This window comes from Homo sapiens, chromosome 12 (assembly GCF_000001405.40).
Source record: "Homo sapiens chromosome 12, GRCh38.p14 Primary Assembly".
Taxonomy (NCBI): domain Eukaryota; kingdom Metazoa; phylum Chordata; class Mammalia; order Primates; family Hominidae; genus Homo; species Homo sapiens.
Window position 1 is genome coordinate 32,808,443 of NC_000012.12, and position 18,712 is coordinate 32,827,154.

The 18,712-nt window shown below is 41.1% G+C and overlaps 1 protein-coding gene across 10 annotated transcripts in view; it reads right to left on the reverse strand.

Annotated features, from left to right (window-relative positions):
• The window catches only part of PKP2 (plakophilin 2), a 106,023-nt gene that overhangs the window by 17,688 nt on the left and 69,623 nt on the right, over positions 1 to 18,712 (reverse strand). For 6 of the 10 annotated variants that reach the window (NM_001407155.1, NM_001005242.3, NM_004572.4 and 3 more), the window contains 3 exons: positions 15,603 to 15,720; positions 14,025 to 14,189; positions 12,914 to 13,087 (listed from right to left, as the gene is read on the reverse strand). In NM_001407155.1, coding sequence (NP_001394084.1) covers positions 12,914 to 13,087; positions 14,025 to 14,189; positions 15,603 to 15,720 — 457 coding nt within the window. Of the gene's footprint in view, positions 1 to 11,701; positions 13,088 to 14,024; positions 14,190 to 15,602; positions 15,721 to 18,712 lie in introns of those variants that run through there. The other 4 variants (NM_001407161.1, NM_001407157.1, NM_001407162.1 and 1 more) reach the window with 2 other exon arrangements.

The window sequence follows — 18,712 nt, forward strand, 5'->3', positions numbered from 1 at the left end:
CTTAGCTTCTTTGCATTGGGTTACGACATGCTCCTTTATCTCAGCGAAGTTTGTTATTTCCCACCTTCTGAAGCCTACTTCTGTCAACTCAGCCATCTCAGCCTCATCGCAGTTCCGAGGCCTTGCTGGAGAGGTGTTGCATTCACCTGGAGAAGAGGCACTCTGTCTTTTTGAGTTTCAGCGTTTTTGCATTGATTCTTTCTCATCTTTGTGGGCTTATCTACCTTCGACCTTTGAGGCTGCTGACTTCTGAAAAGGTTTCTGTGGGGTCTTTTTTGTTGATGTTGTTGTTGTTTTTTTCTTTTCACGGTCAGGCTACTGACTCTTAGCAACCACAGGGCTGCTGTGGTTTGTTGGGGGTCTGCTCCAGACCTTAGTTGCCTCTGCTTTTCCTGTACTTGGAGGTATCAACAGTGAAGGCTGTGAAGCAGCAAAGATGGCAGCCTGCTCCTTCCTCTGGACACTCCATCCCAGGGTGGGTACTGACCTGCTGCTGGCCCAAATGCTCGTTTCAGAGGTTTCTGGAGACCCTTATTGAAAGGTCTCACCCAGTCAGGAGGAACAGAATTAGGGACCCGCTTAAAGAAGCAGTCTGGCTGTAGAGCAGGTGTGCTCTGTTGGGGAGGACCCTTCCTCATCTGGACTGCCCAGACTCTCTAGAGTAGGCAAGCTGGAACAGCTCAGTTGACTGAACCACAGAGATGGCAGCCTCCCCTCCTTCTGGGAGCTGCATCCCAGGGAGAGATCAGAGCTCTCTGTCCATATAAGCCCGGCTGGAGTGATTGAAGGCCCCCCACAGGGAGGCCCTGCCCAGTGAGGAGGAATGGATCAGGGTCCCACTTTAAAGCAGTTTGGGCACAATCTGGCACAGCAGCTGTGCTGTGTTGGGGGTATCCCTTCCTCATCTGGACCACCCAGACTCTCTGGAGCTGGCAGGCTGGAATGTGCAGTTGACCAAACCACAGAAATGGTAGCCACCCCTCCCACAGGGAACTCCATCCTGTTTCAGGCAGACTCACTGTGTTGCCATTGGCTGGCTGGAATTCCAAGACAGTGGGACTTAACTTGTGAGGTGCTGTGGAAGTGGGGCCTGCAGAACAATGCTGCTTGGCTCCCTGGATTCAGCCCCCTTCCTAGGGGAAGGTACAAAGGGATCTGTCACCTTGCTGGAAATTCCGGGGCCGGAGTATGTAAAACTCTTGTCTCTGTGTGTACCTGTGCTGAGACTCCGCACAGCTCTGTTTATTGGACCCAAGGCCCTGGTAGCGTGGGCTCATGAGGGGATCTCCTGATCCACAAGTTGCAAAGATCTGTGGGAGAAGCATGGTCCTGGGCGGGTCGCACAATCGGTCACCGCTTCCCTTTGCTGGGGGTGGGGGTTCCTTTGGCTCCGTGAGGCTCCTGGGTGGGCCACTGACCCACTCTGCTTTTCTTTATTCTCTCTGGATCAGGGTGATTGTTTAGTCAGTCCCAATGCGAGAACCTGGATATTTCAGTTGAAGGTGCTGAATTCACTTGATGCTTTCATTCCTCTCTGTGCTGTGGACTGCAGCTGCTTCTAATGGGCCCTCTTGGCCCCCATCTCAACAATAGCTCTTATTTTAGCAGTCTCTCTTTGATTTTATAAATAGACATGAGTTGTTCTGTTATGAATGCCTGCTGCTCTAGTTCTTCAATAAGCCCATCACACAATTTTACCCTGTCATCTACAGGCACTTTTTCTGCAGTGTTAACAATATCACTATTACCACAATTACCTTATTCAGAATCATTTTGGCCATTTCACCATTGGTCAATGAATGAACAAGTAGAGCCTTGTTATCAATGTTAGAAACTTCTTTAGTATTCACTTCTTCCAGCTAACTGACAGATTGTGAAGGTCTATTTTTTTGCAAAGGTAAGGAGTTCAGCCATCATTTTTTTTTCTCACTTGACATATATAATCCTTCAAAGTCACCATCTGGTGACTTCATTACCAGTCGACATAGTTGTAGGCCAGAGTTGTGCCAGTCATGCACACCTGTTTCAAGCAATGGCAACAGCATATAGAGCATCCTCAGGCTAAACTCCTTTTGAACACTTTCTCACACCCACACCTCTGCACACTGCTGGTAGCTAGCATGCTATTTAAGAAAAGTGTTTTTTTAATCTACTCTTTATTGATCTAAGGATACTCTGGTCACATGGCTAAATTGATGAAGTCACATTTAGGGGAAAGTACATAGAATAAACATTTTTTTTTTTTTTTTTTTTTTTTGAGACGGAGTCTCGCTCTGTCGCCCAGGCTGGAGTGCAGTGGCGGGATCTCGGCTCACTGCAAGCTCCGCCTCCCGGGTTCACGCCATTCTCCTGCCTCAGCCTCCCGAGTAGCTGGGACTACAGGCGCCCGCCACTACGCCCGGCTAATTTTTTGTATTTTTAGTAGAGACGGGGTTTCACCGTTTTAGCCGGGATGGTCTCGATCTCCTGACCTCGTGATCCGCCCGCCTCGGCCTCCCAAAGTGCTGGGATTACAGGCGTGAGCCACCGCGCCCGGCCAGAATAAACATTTTTTAAATGAGAATTTCAGCTGGGAGATGAGCAGAACAGTTGTCATGTAATAACAAAATCTTTGCAGTCATCATCCAATTGAGTCTCCCTGCAGCAAGCATGAGCCACTTGGTACCAAATGTTTGTGAAACCAATCAAAAAAGATGTCCCTGGTGCTCCAGGTCTTTTTGTTAGCATAATAACAGACTGGTAAGAAATTCACTCCTTGAAAACAGTGAGGACACAAGTTTTTATCTATCACCCCACTTATGTATGCCTGATGCATTAGCACATCCCAGCATATTCTGTTCTTGGCAGCCTTAATTCTAGTAGGTGCTGTCTCATCAGCTGTAGTCAGTGTCTTTCTGAGGCAATGATGCCAAAACAGTGATGTTTCATCAGCATTATAGACTTGTTTTGGCTTCAGATTTTCATTAGCCATGACTCTGGCAAACTCAATGAATTTCTTCACTGCTTTGTGATCAGCAGATGCTTTATCATCACAAATCTTTAAAAATGTAATGCTGTGTCTTTTCTTAAATTTCTGCAACCAGACTATTGATTATTCACAGTTCCTTTTAATTTTCAGTTCATCATTGGCCTTTGTTTCATGGTCAGCATACCACTATGTGCCATGTGTTCACTGTGACGTGGACAGATCCGCACTTTCAATACATGATCAAAATCTTCATGTTTGGCTTTATGCAGTTTTCTAATCTTCACTAACTTCTGTGAATCAGTTTCAGCACAGAACTTCAGCGGTGTATCCTTCTGTTTCTTCAGGTCATATATGGATGTTTCATATACTCCTGTCCAGTTTCTCCAACAGCTTGGCTTTCTGTGCTAGAGGTAAACATAAATGCTTCCTCTTTTTATCAGTTACCCTGAGGGGTATCTGCAGGCCATTTTGTCATTTTCAACAATATCTTTACACCACACAGCAAAGAGAGTAAGCAACCAAACACAGTTGAGTCATGCATGCAGGTCTTGGCTCCATGTGGGGCATTGTGGGAAACCTGCCATCAGCATGCCTGGCCTGCACATATGCCATTTTACTATCCTTTGTGTGTGTGCTTGCTTGCGTGGGGGAAACTGGGTGTATGTGGAAAAGATATATGGCAGCTGAAGGGAGCTGGGAGGGTTTTTTTTTTTTTTTTTTTCTGCTTGAGGATGCTGAGTAAACTGTGTATTGTGTGCCTGCGTTTTGACTGTGACTCGTCACATAAGGTCAAGTATAACATTTTCAACGCATGGTGTCATGCTGGTGCTAAAAAGGTTTTGGATTTCGGAGCATTTCAGATTTTGAAAATTTGGATTAGGGATGCTCAACCTACATTGCTGTATATCTGCCACTCACTTCCACGGTAACATGGAATCTGTGTTCACCCAGAAAGCTAACTGAGCTGAGAAAAAATCTTAAAGGGAGATGTCTTTCATTATTTCAGTTTATTTACTGGTTGATGATTAGTCATCTTTTCTGTTTCTTCTTGTTCAAGTTTTGGCAATTTACACACACTAATTAATTTACTCATTTCTTTTTTTCTTTTTTGAGACAGAGTCTCGCTCTGTCGCCCAGGCTGGAGTGCAGTGGCATGATCTTGGCTCACTGCAACCTCTGCCTCCTGGGTTCAAGCAATTCTCCTGCCTCAGTCTCCTGAGTAGCTGGGACTACAGGCGCCCACCACCATGCCTGGCTAATTTTTTGTATTTTTAGTAGAGACGGGGTTTCACCATGTTAGCCAGGCTGGTCTTGAACTCCTGACCTCAAGTGATCCACCTGCCTCGGCCTCCCAAAGTGCTGGGATTACAGGCGTGAGCCACCGTGCCTGGCCATTATTAACTTTTAAATGGGAAAACTCATCACTATTTCCATACAAATGACTTGCCAATTGACTTTCTGTAACCCACTTATAAGTTTGGATGTATATTCAGTCAAATCCATGTTAACTTGATCGCAGTCCTTGCATTTGTTATTCCTGGTTGTAGCTGTAAACTATCGTGGGCACAGTCGGTCTGAAGAAGAGAATTTTATTTTTGAAAATATAAAATATCTTGACTTCCAGGAGCTTACTAGAGAAATAAAAAATTGTAGCCTGCAGTTTTCAAAACCAATTCATCACAAGATTGAAGGTTATAAATCTAAATAATGGTCAGTATTAGCCCAATAGTGACCAAACAAACAAACATAAAACAAAAATGTAAACAAAACCAAAGCAAAAAACTAAGCAAAACAAAACCCCCAAACAACCAAACAAATGGACTAAGCCATAAGGACCTCTTGTGAACTCTCATATGGATGTCTGGATTTTAGGAACAGGATTATCAGATCAGTGGGAGAAAATGTATAAACATTGGGAAGTAGAATCATTTCAAGTTCATTTTGGGCCTTCAGATATGACTTTAATGCTAATCAACTTACTTTAAACTGAGCCTGCTTAATATATAATGAAACAAATAACTGTCATGTCTTATTGTTTTTATAATTTAGTCAGTATCTTTTTTTCAATATTAAAAATAGTAGGAAGAAGCTGGGCCTGGTGGCTCATGCCTGTAATTCCAGCACTTTGGGAGGCTGAGGCAGGAGGATTGCTTGAGGCCAGGAGTTTGAGACCAGCTGGGCAACATAGTGAGACCCTGTCTCTACAAATGATAAAAAAATTTAGCTGGGTGTTGTGGTATGTGCCTGTGGTTCTAGCTTTTTGGGAGGCTGAGGTGGGAGAGAATCACTTGAACCCTGGTGGTCAAGGCTGCAGTGAGCCATGATTATACCACTGCACTCCAGCCTGGGTGACAAAGCAAGACCTCATCTTGGGAAAAAAAAAAAATAAGGAGGAAGAAAACATGTAATTGTTAGATACAATTGCAATACTCTGTTTATTAGTTATTAAAACATAACTTTTATTAGACTCTCAAAGTGTCCATGACTCAAAGGAATTTAATTACTATTTTCTAATGTTTGTTCTATTATAAACAAATTAAAATTTGTCTTTCATTAATTTGCAGAACATTCTGTTAGACTATTTGCTCTCCTCTGAGAAGAATCCTTCCCCTGTAGCCATCCAAGGAGGAGACTACTGGACACCACTCCTGTATCCTGGGCCAGGAGGGACGTTTGGCACTCTCTGTCTTCCCAGTTGCGCTTCTACACTATTCCGTTTTCCCTCAAATGCATAAGTCCTGCTCTTCTGAGTCACCACCGTCCAGCTCTATCACCCCCCACAGCATTTTCTTTGCTATCACAAGGCCTATTATTCTTTCCTCAACATTTGCTGGAGGCTTTGGAGCCCAGTTCACAGCCTTCTCCACCTCCTATTCATATACCTCATCAAAATGATTACCTCACAGTTCCTAGACTTCCCCACAGTCCCTGACTTTCATCTCTTCCATACATCAGCCACTCACTTCCATGGTCACACAGAGCCTGTGTTCACTCAGAGACATGTTGCCTCTGAAAACATAAACTCAGCAATGTCAGGCTCTGAACATAGTTTCCCGTTCTCCCTGCTCTCCCTCCCTCCCTCCTACCATGTTTCTCTTCAGCCTCATCAAGAACTTTAGTTCCTTTACCTAACCTTCATTCCTTACACCTCAAGTTATCAATTCTCTCCTGTCTTAAATTTCTTATTTAGACTATGGTGCATGAACCATCACATTAAATATTATCTTTCCAGGCTGGGCACTATGGCTCAAGCCTGTAATCCCAGCACTTTGGGAGGCAGAGGAAGGCAGATCACCTGAGGTCAGGAGTTCGAGACCAGCCTGGCCAACATGGTGAAACCCCGTCTCTACTAAAAGTACAAAAAATTAGCTGAGCATGGTGGTTGGCGCCTGTAATCTCAGCTACTTGGGAGGCTGAGGTAGGAGAATCACTTGAACCCAGGAGGCGGAGGTTGCAGTGAGCTGAGATCGTGCCACTGGACTCCACCCTAGGCGACAGAGTGAGACTCTGTCTTAAAAAAAAAAAAATTCCAATAATCTCAACAATCTTGTCAGTCTGGTTTATTTTTCTCTCACCCATCAAAACTGCAATATACGGTTCATTTAACTTTTTTCTTTTCTGATTTTATACTTGTCTACCAAATATTGCTAGGGCGAACAATGCATTTGCAGAAGAACCAATCTGCAAATTATGGCCTCCAATCTCTACAAGGAACTCAATGTTGCTAGTAAACTTGTTGTCTCTTAAACACCAGTGGGGGTTTCAAAGCCTTACACCAGAATCACCCTTGTAAAATTTAATCTGATTATGTTCCACACCTCAGATTTAAACCCTTTCATGACTCTTCATCGCCTTCCGAATGATGTTCAAACATCTTAGTATGGCTCATACAGTCCTCTGTAGCCTGACATTTTCTTTCATTTCCTTCCTTACCACTACTCCCTAATTCTCTATTTTACAACTCTCCTAAACTGCCTATCTCTCCTACTAGACCATTCATTAGCCTCTTGAAAGAACATATCTTATCCATCTTTTCTCCACCTCAGTGCCTTGTATGGTACCTTCCACATGATAGGTCCTATACAAATGTTTACTGACCTGAATTGTACAAATAATATGCTATCAAGTTTCCCTGAAGATTTATCATCTCAGAAGGTACTTGAAAACAAGATGGGGAATCAAATAAAGTCACAAAATATTTCTTAAAATTTTTGTTTTCTTTTAAAACATGAGAATTTCTTGAGAACTAAAATCTCGCTTTATAGATACATCATACTATACTATTTAATGATATATGCTGAGATATAATAAAGAGCATTAATGTTTTCATGTTAATTTGTAAGAACAATCATTGAAAACATGTGACTCTAGATGAGGTCTGATTCCTTAAATGCTGTTTGCTCAGCTTGGGGACAGCATGGCAAAATTTCACTAATTCCGATTTGCTGAGGGAAATGAGAATGCCTGAAGTAGGATGACCTTTAGAATTTGCTCCATAAGGAAAATAAGCAATGAGTGCTACCAAATAGAGATTCTGTATTCTAGCTTTTGTAAGTATGTGAGAATGACTGTTAATTCTCTGGTCAACTGTTTGCAAATAACACTTCTAATTCATATTGCCTTGATCATTAATGAGGTTGAAAAATGTTTTCAAATGTTTATTGGCCTTTAAAAAAAATTTCAACTTTTAGATTCAGAGGGTGGATGTGCAGGTTTGTGACACGGGTATACTGTGTGATGCTAAGGTTTGTGATATGAATAATCCCGTCACCCAGGTAGTAAGCATAGTACATAATAGTTAGTTTTTCATCCCTTTCCCCCTCCTTCTCTCCCTCTTCTTGTAGTCCCCAGTGTCTATTGTTGCCATCTGTATGTCCATGAGTAACCATGGTTTAACTCCCACGTATAAGTGGGAGAATATGTGGTATTTGTTTTTCTGTACCTGCATTAATTCACTTAGGATAATGGCTTCCAGATGCATCCATGTTGCTGCAAAGGACATGATTTTACTCTTTTTTCATGGCTGCATATCATTGCAGGGTGCATATGTACCACATTTTCTTTATCCAATCCACCACGGATGGGCACCCTGGTGGATTCCATGACTTTGCTATTGTGAATAGCATGGTGATGAACATATGAGTGCACGTGTCTTCTTGGTAGAATAATTTATTTTCCTTTGGATATCTACTCAGTAATGGGATTGCTGGGTGGAATGGTAGCTCTGTTTTAAGTTCTCTGAGAAACCTCCAAACTGCCTTCCACAGTGGCTGAACTAATTTATATTCCCACCAATAGTATGTAAGTGTTCCCTTCTCTCCAAAGCCTCACCAGCATCTGTTGTTTTTTGACTTTTTAATAGTAGCCATTCTAAGTGGTATGAGATGGCATCTCACTGTAGTTTTGATTTGATAATTAATGATGATTAGTGATGATGAGCGTTTTTTCATGTTTGTTGGCCACTGGTAATGTCTTTTTTTGAGAAATGTCTGTTCATGTCTTTGGCTCCCTTTTTAAATGGGGTTATTTAGTTTTTGCTTGCTGAATTTTTTAAGTTCCTTACAGATTCTGGATTTAAACCTTTACCAGATACATACTTTGTGAACATTTTCTCCCATTCTGTAGGTTGTCTGTTTACTCTGTTGATAGTTTATTTTGCTGTGCAGAAGCTCTTTAGCTTAATTAGGTCCCAGAATAGACAACCCAGCAATGAAGCTCCACACCTACAGCCATCTGGTCTTTGACAAAGTTGACAAAAATAAGCAATGGGGAAAGGACTCCCTATTCAATAAATGGTGCTGGGATAACTGGCTAGTCATATGCAGAACAAAACTGAACTTCTACCTTTCACTATGTATAAAAATTAATTCAAGATGGATTTAAGATTTAAACGTTAAGACCTCAAAATGTAAGACTCCTAGAAGAAAACCTACGAAACACCATTCTGGACATTGGCCATGGGAAAGAATTTATAACTGTTAGCTATTTCAATGTTATCTTTCGTCTATTAAGTCTCTTGTCCATTTATTTTTCTACTGGGCTGTCCATGTCTTGTTTATGTATTGTTACCTCAACTCTTCTATATTTTCTGGATACCCACGTTTGTTACTTATACATGTTGCAAAAATCTTTTCCCATTCTGTGGTTTGCCTTTTTAATGTCTTAACATGTCTTTTGATAGCATAAGTTATTAATTTAGTCAATTTATCAAATATTTACTTTAAGGCTAGTCCTTTTTGTGTCCATTTTAATGAAGTCTTTCCCTGTTTCAGGTCATGAAGATATTCTTCCATGTAATTGTTTAGCATCTTTATTGTTTTACCTTTCATATTTAGGTTTCATTCCTGTTGGTATTTATTTTTGGGTAAGGTATGCGGTAGTGGGGAAGATCCCAACCCCCGGGTCACAGTACCAGTCCGTGGACTGTTAGGAACCCGCCGCACAGCAGAAAGTGAGCAGTGAGCGAGTATTATTAGTGCTTGAGCTCCACTTCCTGTCAGATCCGCAGTGACATTAGATTCTCATGGGGGCGCAAACCCTATTGTGAACCGCACATGAGGGATCTAGGCTGTGTGCTCCTTATAAGAATCTAATTGATCTAAGATGGAACAGTTTCATCCTGAAACTATCTCTCCCCAGCCTAGTCTGTGAAAAAACTGTCTTCCATGAAACCAGTCCCTGGTGCCAAAAAGGTTGGGGGCCGCTGAGGGAATATGTTTCATTTTTTTCCGATCGATATTAAATAAAGGGCTTTTAAAACTGTTTATTTCAGGCTGGGTGCAGTGGCTCACGCCTGTCCCCAGCACTTTGGGAGACTGAAGTGGGCAGATCACTTGAAGTCAGGAGTTCGAGACCAGCCTGGCTGACATGGTGAAACCCGTCTCTACTATAAATACAGAAATTAGTTGGGAGTGGTGGCACATGCCTGTAATCCCAACTACTCAAGAGGCTGAGGCACGAGAATTACTTGAACCCAGGAGACAGAGGTTGCAGTGAGCCGAGACTGTGCCACTGCACTCCAGCCTGGGCAACAGAATGAGACTCTGTCTCAAAAACAAAAAAAACCCAAAAAAACCCGAAACTTTATTTCAATGACTTTTAACTTTTACTATACAATGTTTAATCTTTTAATTTATATTATATTTAAAAGCTTGCTAAATAAGTAAATTTTATTATTCCATCCTTTTGCTACTAGAGTGACCATTATAACTGAACTAATAAAGCTTAAACTAACATACTTTTACTAACTAGAAATTCTGTCATAATTCTGTATGTAAATTATATAATCTGTCTTTTAGGAACCTATTTATTTCAGCTTGGGTTCTTTGCCACGTAAGGTACACGGTCATTAATTGCTCAGTGCTATCTCAGTTACGATCACATGGCCAATGGACTTGATATTTTCTGGTACTATGTGTATGACCTAATTTTCATGTTTTCCTATTCAATGATTCCTTGTTTGAAATTATAAAGCCAGAGATCTTTATCACAGCATCTAAGCATACAAAAGTAGGAAAAGTATTATTAAAAAAACACATATGTCAAAATTTTAAAAAGCATCCCGTAACTTAAAAGAATAAAGGGAGGCTGAGTGCGGTGGCTCACACCTATAATCCCAGCACTCTGGGAGGCTGAGGCTGGTGGATCACCTGAGGTGAGGAGTTTGAGACCAGCCTGGCCAACATGGTGAAACCTCATCTCTACTAAAAATACAAAAATTAGCTGGGCGTGGTGGCGGGCACCTGTAATCCCAGCTACTTGGGAGGCTGAGGCAGGAGAATTGCTTGAACCCGGGAGGCAGAAGTTGCAGTGAGCCAAGATTGTGCCACTGGATTCCAGCCTGGGCAACAGAGTGAGATTCCGCCTCAAAATAAATACAATACAATACAATACAATACAATACAATAAAATAAAATAAAATAAAATAAAATAAAATAAAGGGGCTTCATATTTGTCCCATGCTGCTAATGATTTTCTCTTATAAATCTCCAATCAAGTCCAATTCTAACAACCTTGGGTATGAATCAGTATCAGTTTAGTGTAAGCTTCCATTTAGGGATGGCCTATTAGGCCCCTTAGGTATGACTTGGGCTCTTTATGGACCTGGTACCTTAAATTTTTCCTAGTACTTTAAATTTCTGTTTTTCATCCCAGTAAGACTATTACCCAACACAGGGATTTGTCTTATTTACTGCTGTGTAACCTACACCATAACTGCTAGTGTCTGTTATGTAATATGCTCAAAAGAATGTTTGTTCAGCAAATGAATGTAGGAACTAGGTAATACACTAATATTGAGAGATTAAGTGGCATAAATATCCCTGTATCCTCAGAAAAATGAAAGCACCCCTGGTCTGGATTCTGTGGGAGGCTCTTGGAATGGAAGAGGCTAAAATCCAAGCTTAAAGGGTTAGCTTATATTGAACTAGACTCAGACCACAGCAAGCTTACACACACACACACACGCACACACAACCCCCCCCCCCCCATTTAATTTTCTTTTATGTTAGCTGGGAATTAAAAAGAGGGCTTCTATAGTTTAGCAAAGTAAGAGAAATGGTTTTGGGAAACCTAGCATAGGAAAATGGGGAATAACGTGATTCATTAGTGTCCCTGTGTCATTAAGGGCTCCCTGGTAGTTCCCAGTTTCTTTCTCAATGTACATTTTGCAGAAAGCCAAACAGATGAAAGTTTGGTTGCATTCTTAACCACAATGCTAAGGTAAGAGAAATATTGGTTTTAGCATTTCACAATTTTATTCAGAGAACAAGCTTCTGTGTAAACACACATATTAAAGAATAAATATGGTTTCTCAAGTAAAACATAAATATTTTTTGCTACTTACAATAGTACTTTTCTCTACAGAGATAATTGGAGACTAGACAGACAATGAGCTATTTGGGGGGAGTTTATTCTAATCGTTTCATGACCAAGGCAAAGAATACAAGCTTAGTTTAAATCATTAAATACTTACAGAATACCTTAATATATAGGAAGGGTATAAAATACATGGGGAAGGGAATAACCTTTTACTATTTTAATTATTTTGACTTTGCTGCTATAAAGTAAGTGCATCTGGAAAGAGGATCAGCTCTTTATTTTGTAGTTGAATTTCTGGGACACAAAAGCACAGATGGCCTTTCCAACTCCATACTGCAGTAGACATCTGCTGTTGTTTTTGCCTTCCCAGCATTTATTCCTCCTTCCTTTGGTAGTAACAGTCTCATTTTCCATTAGGGAGCACTCCTTTACCATTTCAGCCCATGTGGTACAAGTGGCAGTGGCCCTCATCCAATCAAACCCATGCCCTGGAAGTGCACATCTGGGCATATGATCCAGACTTGGCCAATTAGAACATCATAGCCTCATAGACACAGGTATTGGTTCAGAAATGGGCAAGAGGCCCAAGCCAGCCCGTGAGACATATTCTCCAACTTCTTAACAACACTATTGGGAAAATGGTAGTTTGTTTCTTGTGGGGGACACATTGGGCTGATAAAACGTGAGCCTGAAATAATTCATGGCTGTCTTTGTTACCCTATGGAGAGAGCCTTTGAGAACAAACCCAGCAGAGGAAAACCAAGCCCGGAGATGAAGAAAGTCAACTGTAATCACTGGTGCACCTAAGTCCAGTCACGACAGAAAGAAGGCCCACCCTGGAGTTTTCAGTGCCATAAGCCAAAAATTTCCTCTTTTTTGCTTAAACCAGCTTGAGGCAGGATTCTGAGATCTGTAACTGAAAGAGTACTGACTTGACTTGTCAGTCAAGCAGCCTGACTTGACTTTGCATAAGCTGAGACCGAAGCCCTCTGTAATTTCTGAGAATTGTCTTTACTAAAATAAGAAACCTTTTTCTCTTCCCTCACTGTTTCATCTCTGAATTGAATGTAGGTATGTCTACAATATCATTATTTTAAAAAGTAGGAAATCAGGCCCAATACTCACTGGTCCACTTCCGGCCGTGAGGTTCTGCAGAGCTCCTAAGGATGCTTCTTGTGTGTAGTTGCGGACACTTTTGGCGATCAAGGACAGATACATCCTTATAACAATGGAATGCCACAGCCACTCCACGCCCTTGGGGTTGCTCTTTTCCTCCGGCATCGGCACGTCCTGGTATTGCTGACCACACACAAAAGGAATCCAGAATTAATGCATGTCAGGTGATGGCTATAATTTCACACTCAAACCAGGAGACCAGAAATACTGTCTAGAAAGGCTCATAATTTGCATAAGAAGCCCTTGAAATAGAAATTTTAAAAGCAAATATATATAATTTCTAATCACTTAACTTTTAGCCCATAATGATTATTTCTTCCTAATAACACTCCACACCCCTAACTTGATATTTCTCCCAGTGAGAGAAAATTCAGAGAATTAAGCATAGGTCATTCTAGAATGGTTTTCAGGCTGCTGTTGAGCTAAAAGCTAAATTAGTCACAACCACCCTGTAGATAAGAAAAACAGGCCTGTTCCCTCAGAGTCTTGTGAAAGTGTCCAGGATAGCACCAGGGTTCTAAATTTACCAGCTGGTTTCCACAAATACCACGATACTCAGAGAAGGAGGGGAGGTTACATTCTCTTAGTTTTCATATCAGTATGGAAATAAATATGTATTCCTTCCTATGAGGTTTGCTTTTAGTATGTCCAAAGTTTGTTTTTAGAATACCCAAGGCCAAATATCAGGGCCGACTTTAATAAAAACAATTTATATACAATTAGCTATGCTGCATTAAGCTTATTTCCTAACCTATAAGGCATAAAGCAGTACGGTTCATGGGTAGCAATGAAAATCTGGAGCCAGACTGCCTGGCATTGTATTCAATCTCTTCCACTTATTTGCTGAATTATTCCAGGAAAATTAATCTTACTGTGTCTCTGTTTCCTCACTGGTAAATGAGGGTATTAATAATACACACTTCAAAAGGTTGATGTAAGAATTAAAATAACTTAAAATAGTGCCGATATATACCAAGTACTTAGACATACACATATACACAAACACACACTCTCTCTCATTCTCTCCCTTTCTCATTCTTTCAAAAACTTCCCAATATACCTCTTTTACTTTCCTGCTTCGACTGCCAAAACATCCAATACTTTTGTTGTTGTCAGTCTGGATATTCCGGTTTTGAATATAGATATTCTGGGAATATTTCTCTGGGAGCTCTGCCTCCAGCTGGTAGGAGAGGTTATGAAGAATGCACACACAATTCTCCGTGGCCTGAGAAAACAGGACAAGAATATTGATCGTATACATATAGATATCCTTGCAGGTGTGATATCACAGGACACAGGCTTTAGCTCTTACAAGGTTTACCAGATGCAACTGGGTGTGCTTAAACTGCGGGTTGCCTGGGGGAAATGCAATGAGTATGGCTAGAAAAGCTAAGGTTTTCATGAACAGTCAGGAGTACAATGCTAAGAAGTAGAGGCTGAGTCTTTTTAGTTTACTTTCTAAAGAGTGTGTCCAGAACAACTGTATAGCTTAGATACGTAACTTACTAGCCATGTTGAGCTGGAGAAGGGGAGGAGATACTGTTTATAGGGACCAACTAGGAGGCTATTGCAATAATCGGCATGAAAGATGCACAATGTAGGAAAACATTAGAAGCATTAGAGGGAAGTGTAAGAACTGAAAGCCTTTTCAGAGGTAGACAGCACACAATTACTCAGATTTCCATCTTCTTTTGGTGGATGGTGATGATTATTAAGAAGGATTATAGTCCAGGTGCTGTGGCTCACGCCTGTAATCCCAGCACTTTGGGAGGCTGAGGTGATGGATCACCTGAGGTCAGGAGTTCAAGACCAGGCTGGCCAACATGGCAAAACCCTGTCTCTACTAAAAATACAAAAAAAATTAGCTGGGCATGGTGGCGTACACCTGTAATCCCAGTTATTTGGGAAGCTGAGGCAGGAGAATTGCTTGAACCCAGGAGGCAGTGGTTGCAGTGAGCTGAGATCGCACCACTGCACTCCAGCCTGGGCTGGGTGATGAAGCTAGACTCTGCCTCCAAAAAAAAAAAAAAAAAAAGGATTATAAAAAGAAGGAACAAGTTTGGGAATGAAAAAAGAGATACATTAAAATTCATTGCTGACCATGTAGCATTTGGGCTCCTTTCAAATATCCACATAGTGTGGTTAGACAGACAGACATTGGAGCCTGGAAAATAGAAAAATAAGGCAATAGGTTTTAATATTTCTTTTTTTTTTTTTTGAGACAGAGTCTTGCTCTGTCGCCCACGCTGGAGTGCAGTGGCGCAATCTCTGCTCACTGCAAGCTCTGGGGTTCATGCCATTCTCCTGCCTCAGCCTCCTGAGTAGCTGGAACTACAGGTGCCCGCCACCACGCCCGGCTATATTTTTTGTATTTTTAGTAGAGACGGGGTTTCACCATGTTATCCAGGATGGTCTCAATCTCCTGACCTCGTGATCTGCCTGCCTCAGCCTCCCAAAGTGCTGGGATTACAGGCGTGAGCCACCATGCCTGGCCTAGGTTTTAATATTTCTAAGGATGAATGGAAGATCTTAGGCTCAGTAAATGAATCAGTGAATAAACCTAAAACCAAGCGGCTATCTTAAGAATATTCTGAAGCATCTTAGTAAGACAAAACAGGATATTTATCTCTTGAATTACCTTGTCATCTGGCTGGTAATCTGCAATGGTTCCTCTGACATAATGGACCAGTGAGTCAATGAGTCCGTCACATCTTCTCATCGCTTTTCTCCCATCAGCGCCAGCAGAACTCATGTTTCTATCAGAAAAAACAAAAAACAAAAAAGTAAGTCTAGGCTGTGTATCCAACAGGTCTTTGTTTTGAAGTTTTACTTGATGCTTCTTCCAGGTGTTTGGAAACTGGCAAATTTGTAAAAGTGTGGCAGACTTGCCCAGTCAACAAATCATTGACTGCTTAATAGATCAACTATGAACATACTTTCTAAATATTTCCAAACAACACGTAATTGTGTCATAAGTCTTCTACTTCACTCCAAGTACCATGATCAAAACATTATTTACTTAATCTTCACTCCATTTTGAGTGTGGATATGAGGCAAATGTTTTTGCAACTAGAACAAGAGCAAATGGCACATTAGACATTATAATATACTGGATGCCAAGTCCCAATTTGCCCCATGTTTTAACTTTAAGTAACTTAAAGTTGCTCTGGGCCTCAGTTTCCTCACTTGTAAAGACAGTGTGTTGGACTACATTCTTTGTGGTTTTCTAAATTTCAGTATAAACTGTTATTGACAAATATTAAATCAGATGCTCTAAAATGCGATTATTTTATCATTAAAATGGCAGAGAGATGTTACAGAAAACATGAGAGTTTGCAGTGTGTAAGGCTTCAGTCAAAAGTATGACCTATAAATATCTTTACACTTAGTCTATTTCTAATATTGCTAAGTCATGACACCTTTCTATAAACAGTAACTAAACCTATAATTGGAAGTTGTTTACTGATAGAGAAATGAAACTTATCAAATACAGGAAAGTAATGCATTTGGGGATTACAGTGCAGATTCAGATCATGTGTATAGTCTGGTATTATTGTTACTACCTTCCTTTAGATTAAGTTTTTCTTACTAGCATTAACTACTTAAAAAAATATTTTTTTTTCCAAAAATGTCAATACCTCAGTCAACAAGAATGACAAAAAATAGGGCCTTCAGGTTTTAAGAACTTGAGAATCACCTCTATTCCCAACTTTAATTGCTAAGAACTGTCCCTATAAAATGTATCAGATCAGTTTCTTTTTTTTTTTTTTTTTTTTTTTTGAGACGGAGTCTCACTCTGTCACCAGGGCTGGAGTGCAGTGGCGCGATCTCGGCTCACTGTAACCTCCACCTCCCGGGTTCAAGCGATTCTCCTGCCTCAGCCTCCCGAGTAGCTGGGACTACAGGCGTGCGTCACTATGCCCAGCTAATTTTTGTATTTTTAGTAGAGACGGGGTTTCACCATGTTGGTTGGCCAGGATGGTCTCTATCTCTTGACCTTGTGAACCGCCCGCCTTGGCCTCCCAAAGTGCTGGGATTACAGGCGTGAGCTACCACGCCTGGCCCAGATCAGTTTCTTTTACTGGTAGGTAGAATATCCAGAATATGTTCAGGACTTTTTCTTTATAATGTGTTAGTGTCATTCTGAACATCAAAAAGAACTGCAACTTTGAGACATTTTTGAGCCTTACTTTCTTCATCTTTAAAATAATATAGGCCAGAAGCTGTGGCTCATGCCTGTAATCCCAGCATTCTGGGAGGCTAAGGCAGGAGGACTGCTTGAGCCCAGGAGTTTAAGACCAGCCTGGGCAACATGGCTAAACCCTGTCTCTATGAAAAAATACAAAAAATTAGCTACGCATGGTGGCATGTGCCTGTAGTCCCAGCTACCTGGGAGACTGAGGAAGAAGATTGCTTGAGCCTGGAGGTTGAGGCTGCAGTGAGCATTACTACACTCCAGCCTGGGTGACAGAGTAAGACCCTGTCTAAAAAATTAACAAAATAAAGTAATATAATATAAGTGATTTCCAAAAGGCCTTCTGCCTCAAAATACTGCTTTCAGTGCATATTTGTCAAAGAAACAAAGGTGCCTAAGCATTACATCAAGAACTAAAGGTGGCTGGGTGTGGTGGCTTACACCTGTAATTCCAGCACTTTGGGAGGCCGAGGCAGGCGGATCATGAGGTCAGGAGATCAAGACCATCTGGCTAACATGGTGAAAACCCGTCTCTACTAAAAGTACCAAACAAAATTAGCCAGGCATGGTGGTGGGCGCCTGTATTCCCAGCTACTCGGGAAGCTGAGGCAGGAGAATGGTGTGAACTCGGAAGGTGGAGCTTGCAGTGAGCCGAGATCGTGCCACTGCACTCCAGCCCGGGTGACAAAGCTAGACACCGTCTCAAAAAAAAAAAAAAAAAAAAGAACTAAAGGGAATGAGAGGAAGATGCACAATATTATACCTTGCTTTCACAGAGATCATATCTATAGGTTGAACTCTGGAAACTGACAAAACCCGACTGTTTTAACCCTCAAAAATGGCAATTTCATGATTCAACGTGACAGTTGAGGAGATAACATACCTAAAACTAAGAATATACTAACAATTTAATGGTTGCTGAATTGATACAATGAATTTTTTAACAAAATCTCTTCTGTGACTGATTCTCATTTGACCCTTCTACTTCCTTATTAATTTTTACTGTACCTGAAAAACTCGGACAGTTTGTTCATTTAAAAAAAAATGAATGGGTTCATAAGCTGGAAATAAAACAATTTTTTACTTAGCTTTTTTCAAAGAATGATCATTTCAACCAAGATCCTCTATCTACTTTGTGAGCCCTTTAAGAATCATGGGGATTCAGAAGCTTGACAGAAACTGAAAAAGCATCTTTTCCAGTCTCCTTATTTTATACATGAAAAACTAGAAGCCAAAAGTTTCCGTTACTTTTCCTGGTGACAGCAAATTAGTGGTAAAGTCAGGAAAAGAGGGCTGTTCTTTATTCTACACCCAGGGTGGCCCAGAACAGAGCAAATCCCAGCTAGCATTCATTCAGTCTGCAAATACCATATGTCCCCAACTACATGATGTTATCATATGTTTAAAAGCTTCCCTTTGGCCTTTTCAACCTCTGGCCAGGATAAATGGCAGTAGTTTAAAATTGCTTTGACAAATCAAAAAGTCTTTCTTCCTGGCTAAGCCCACTACATACCTTGCAGATGGATGACTTAGCTTTGTTTAACTCCGGGGTG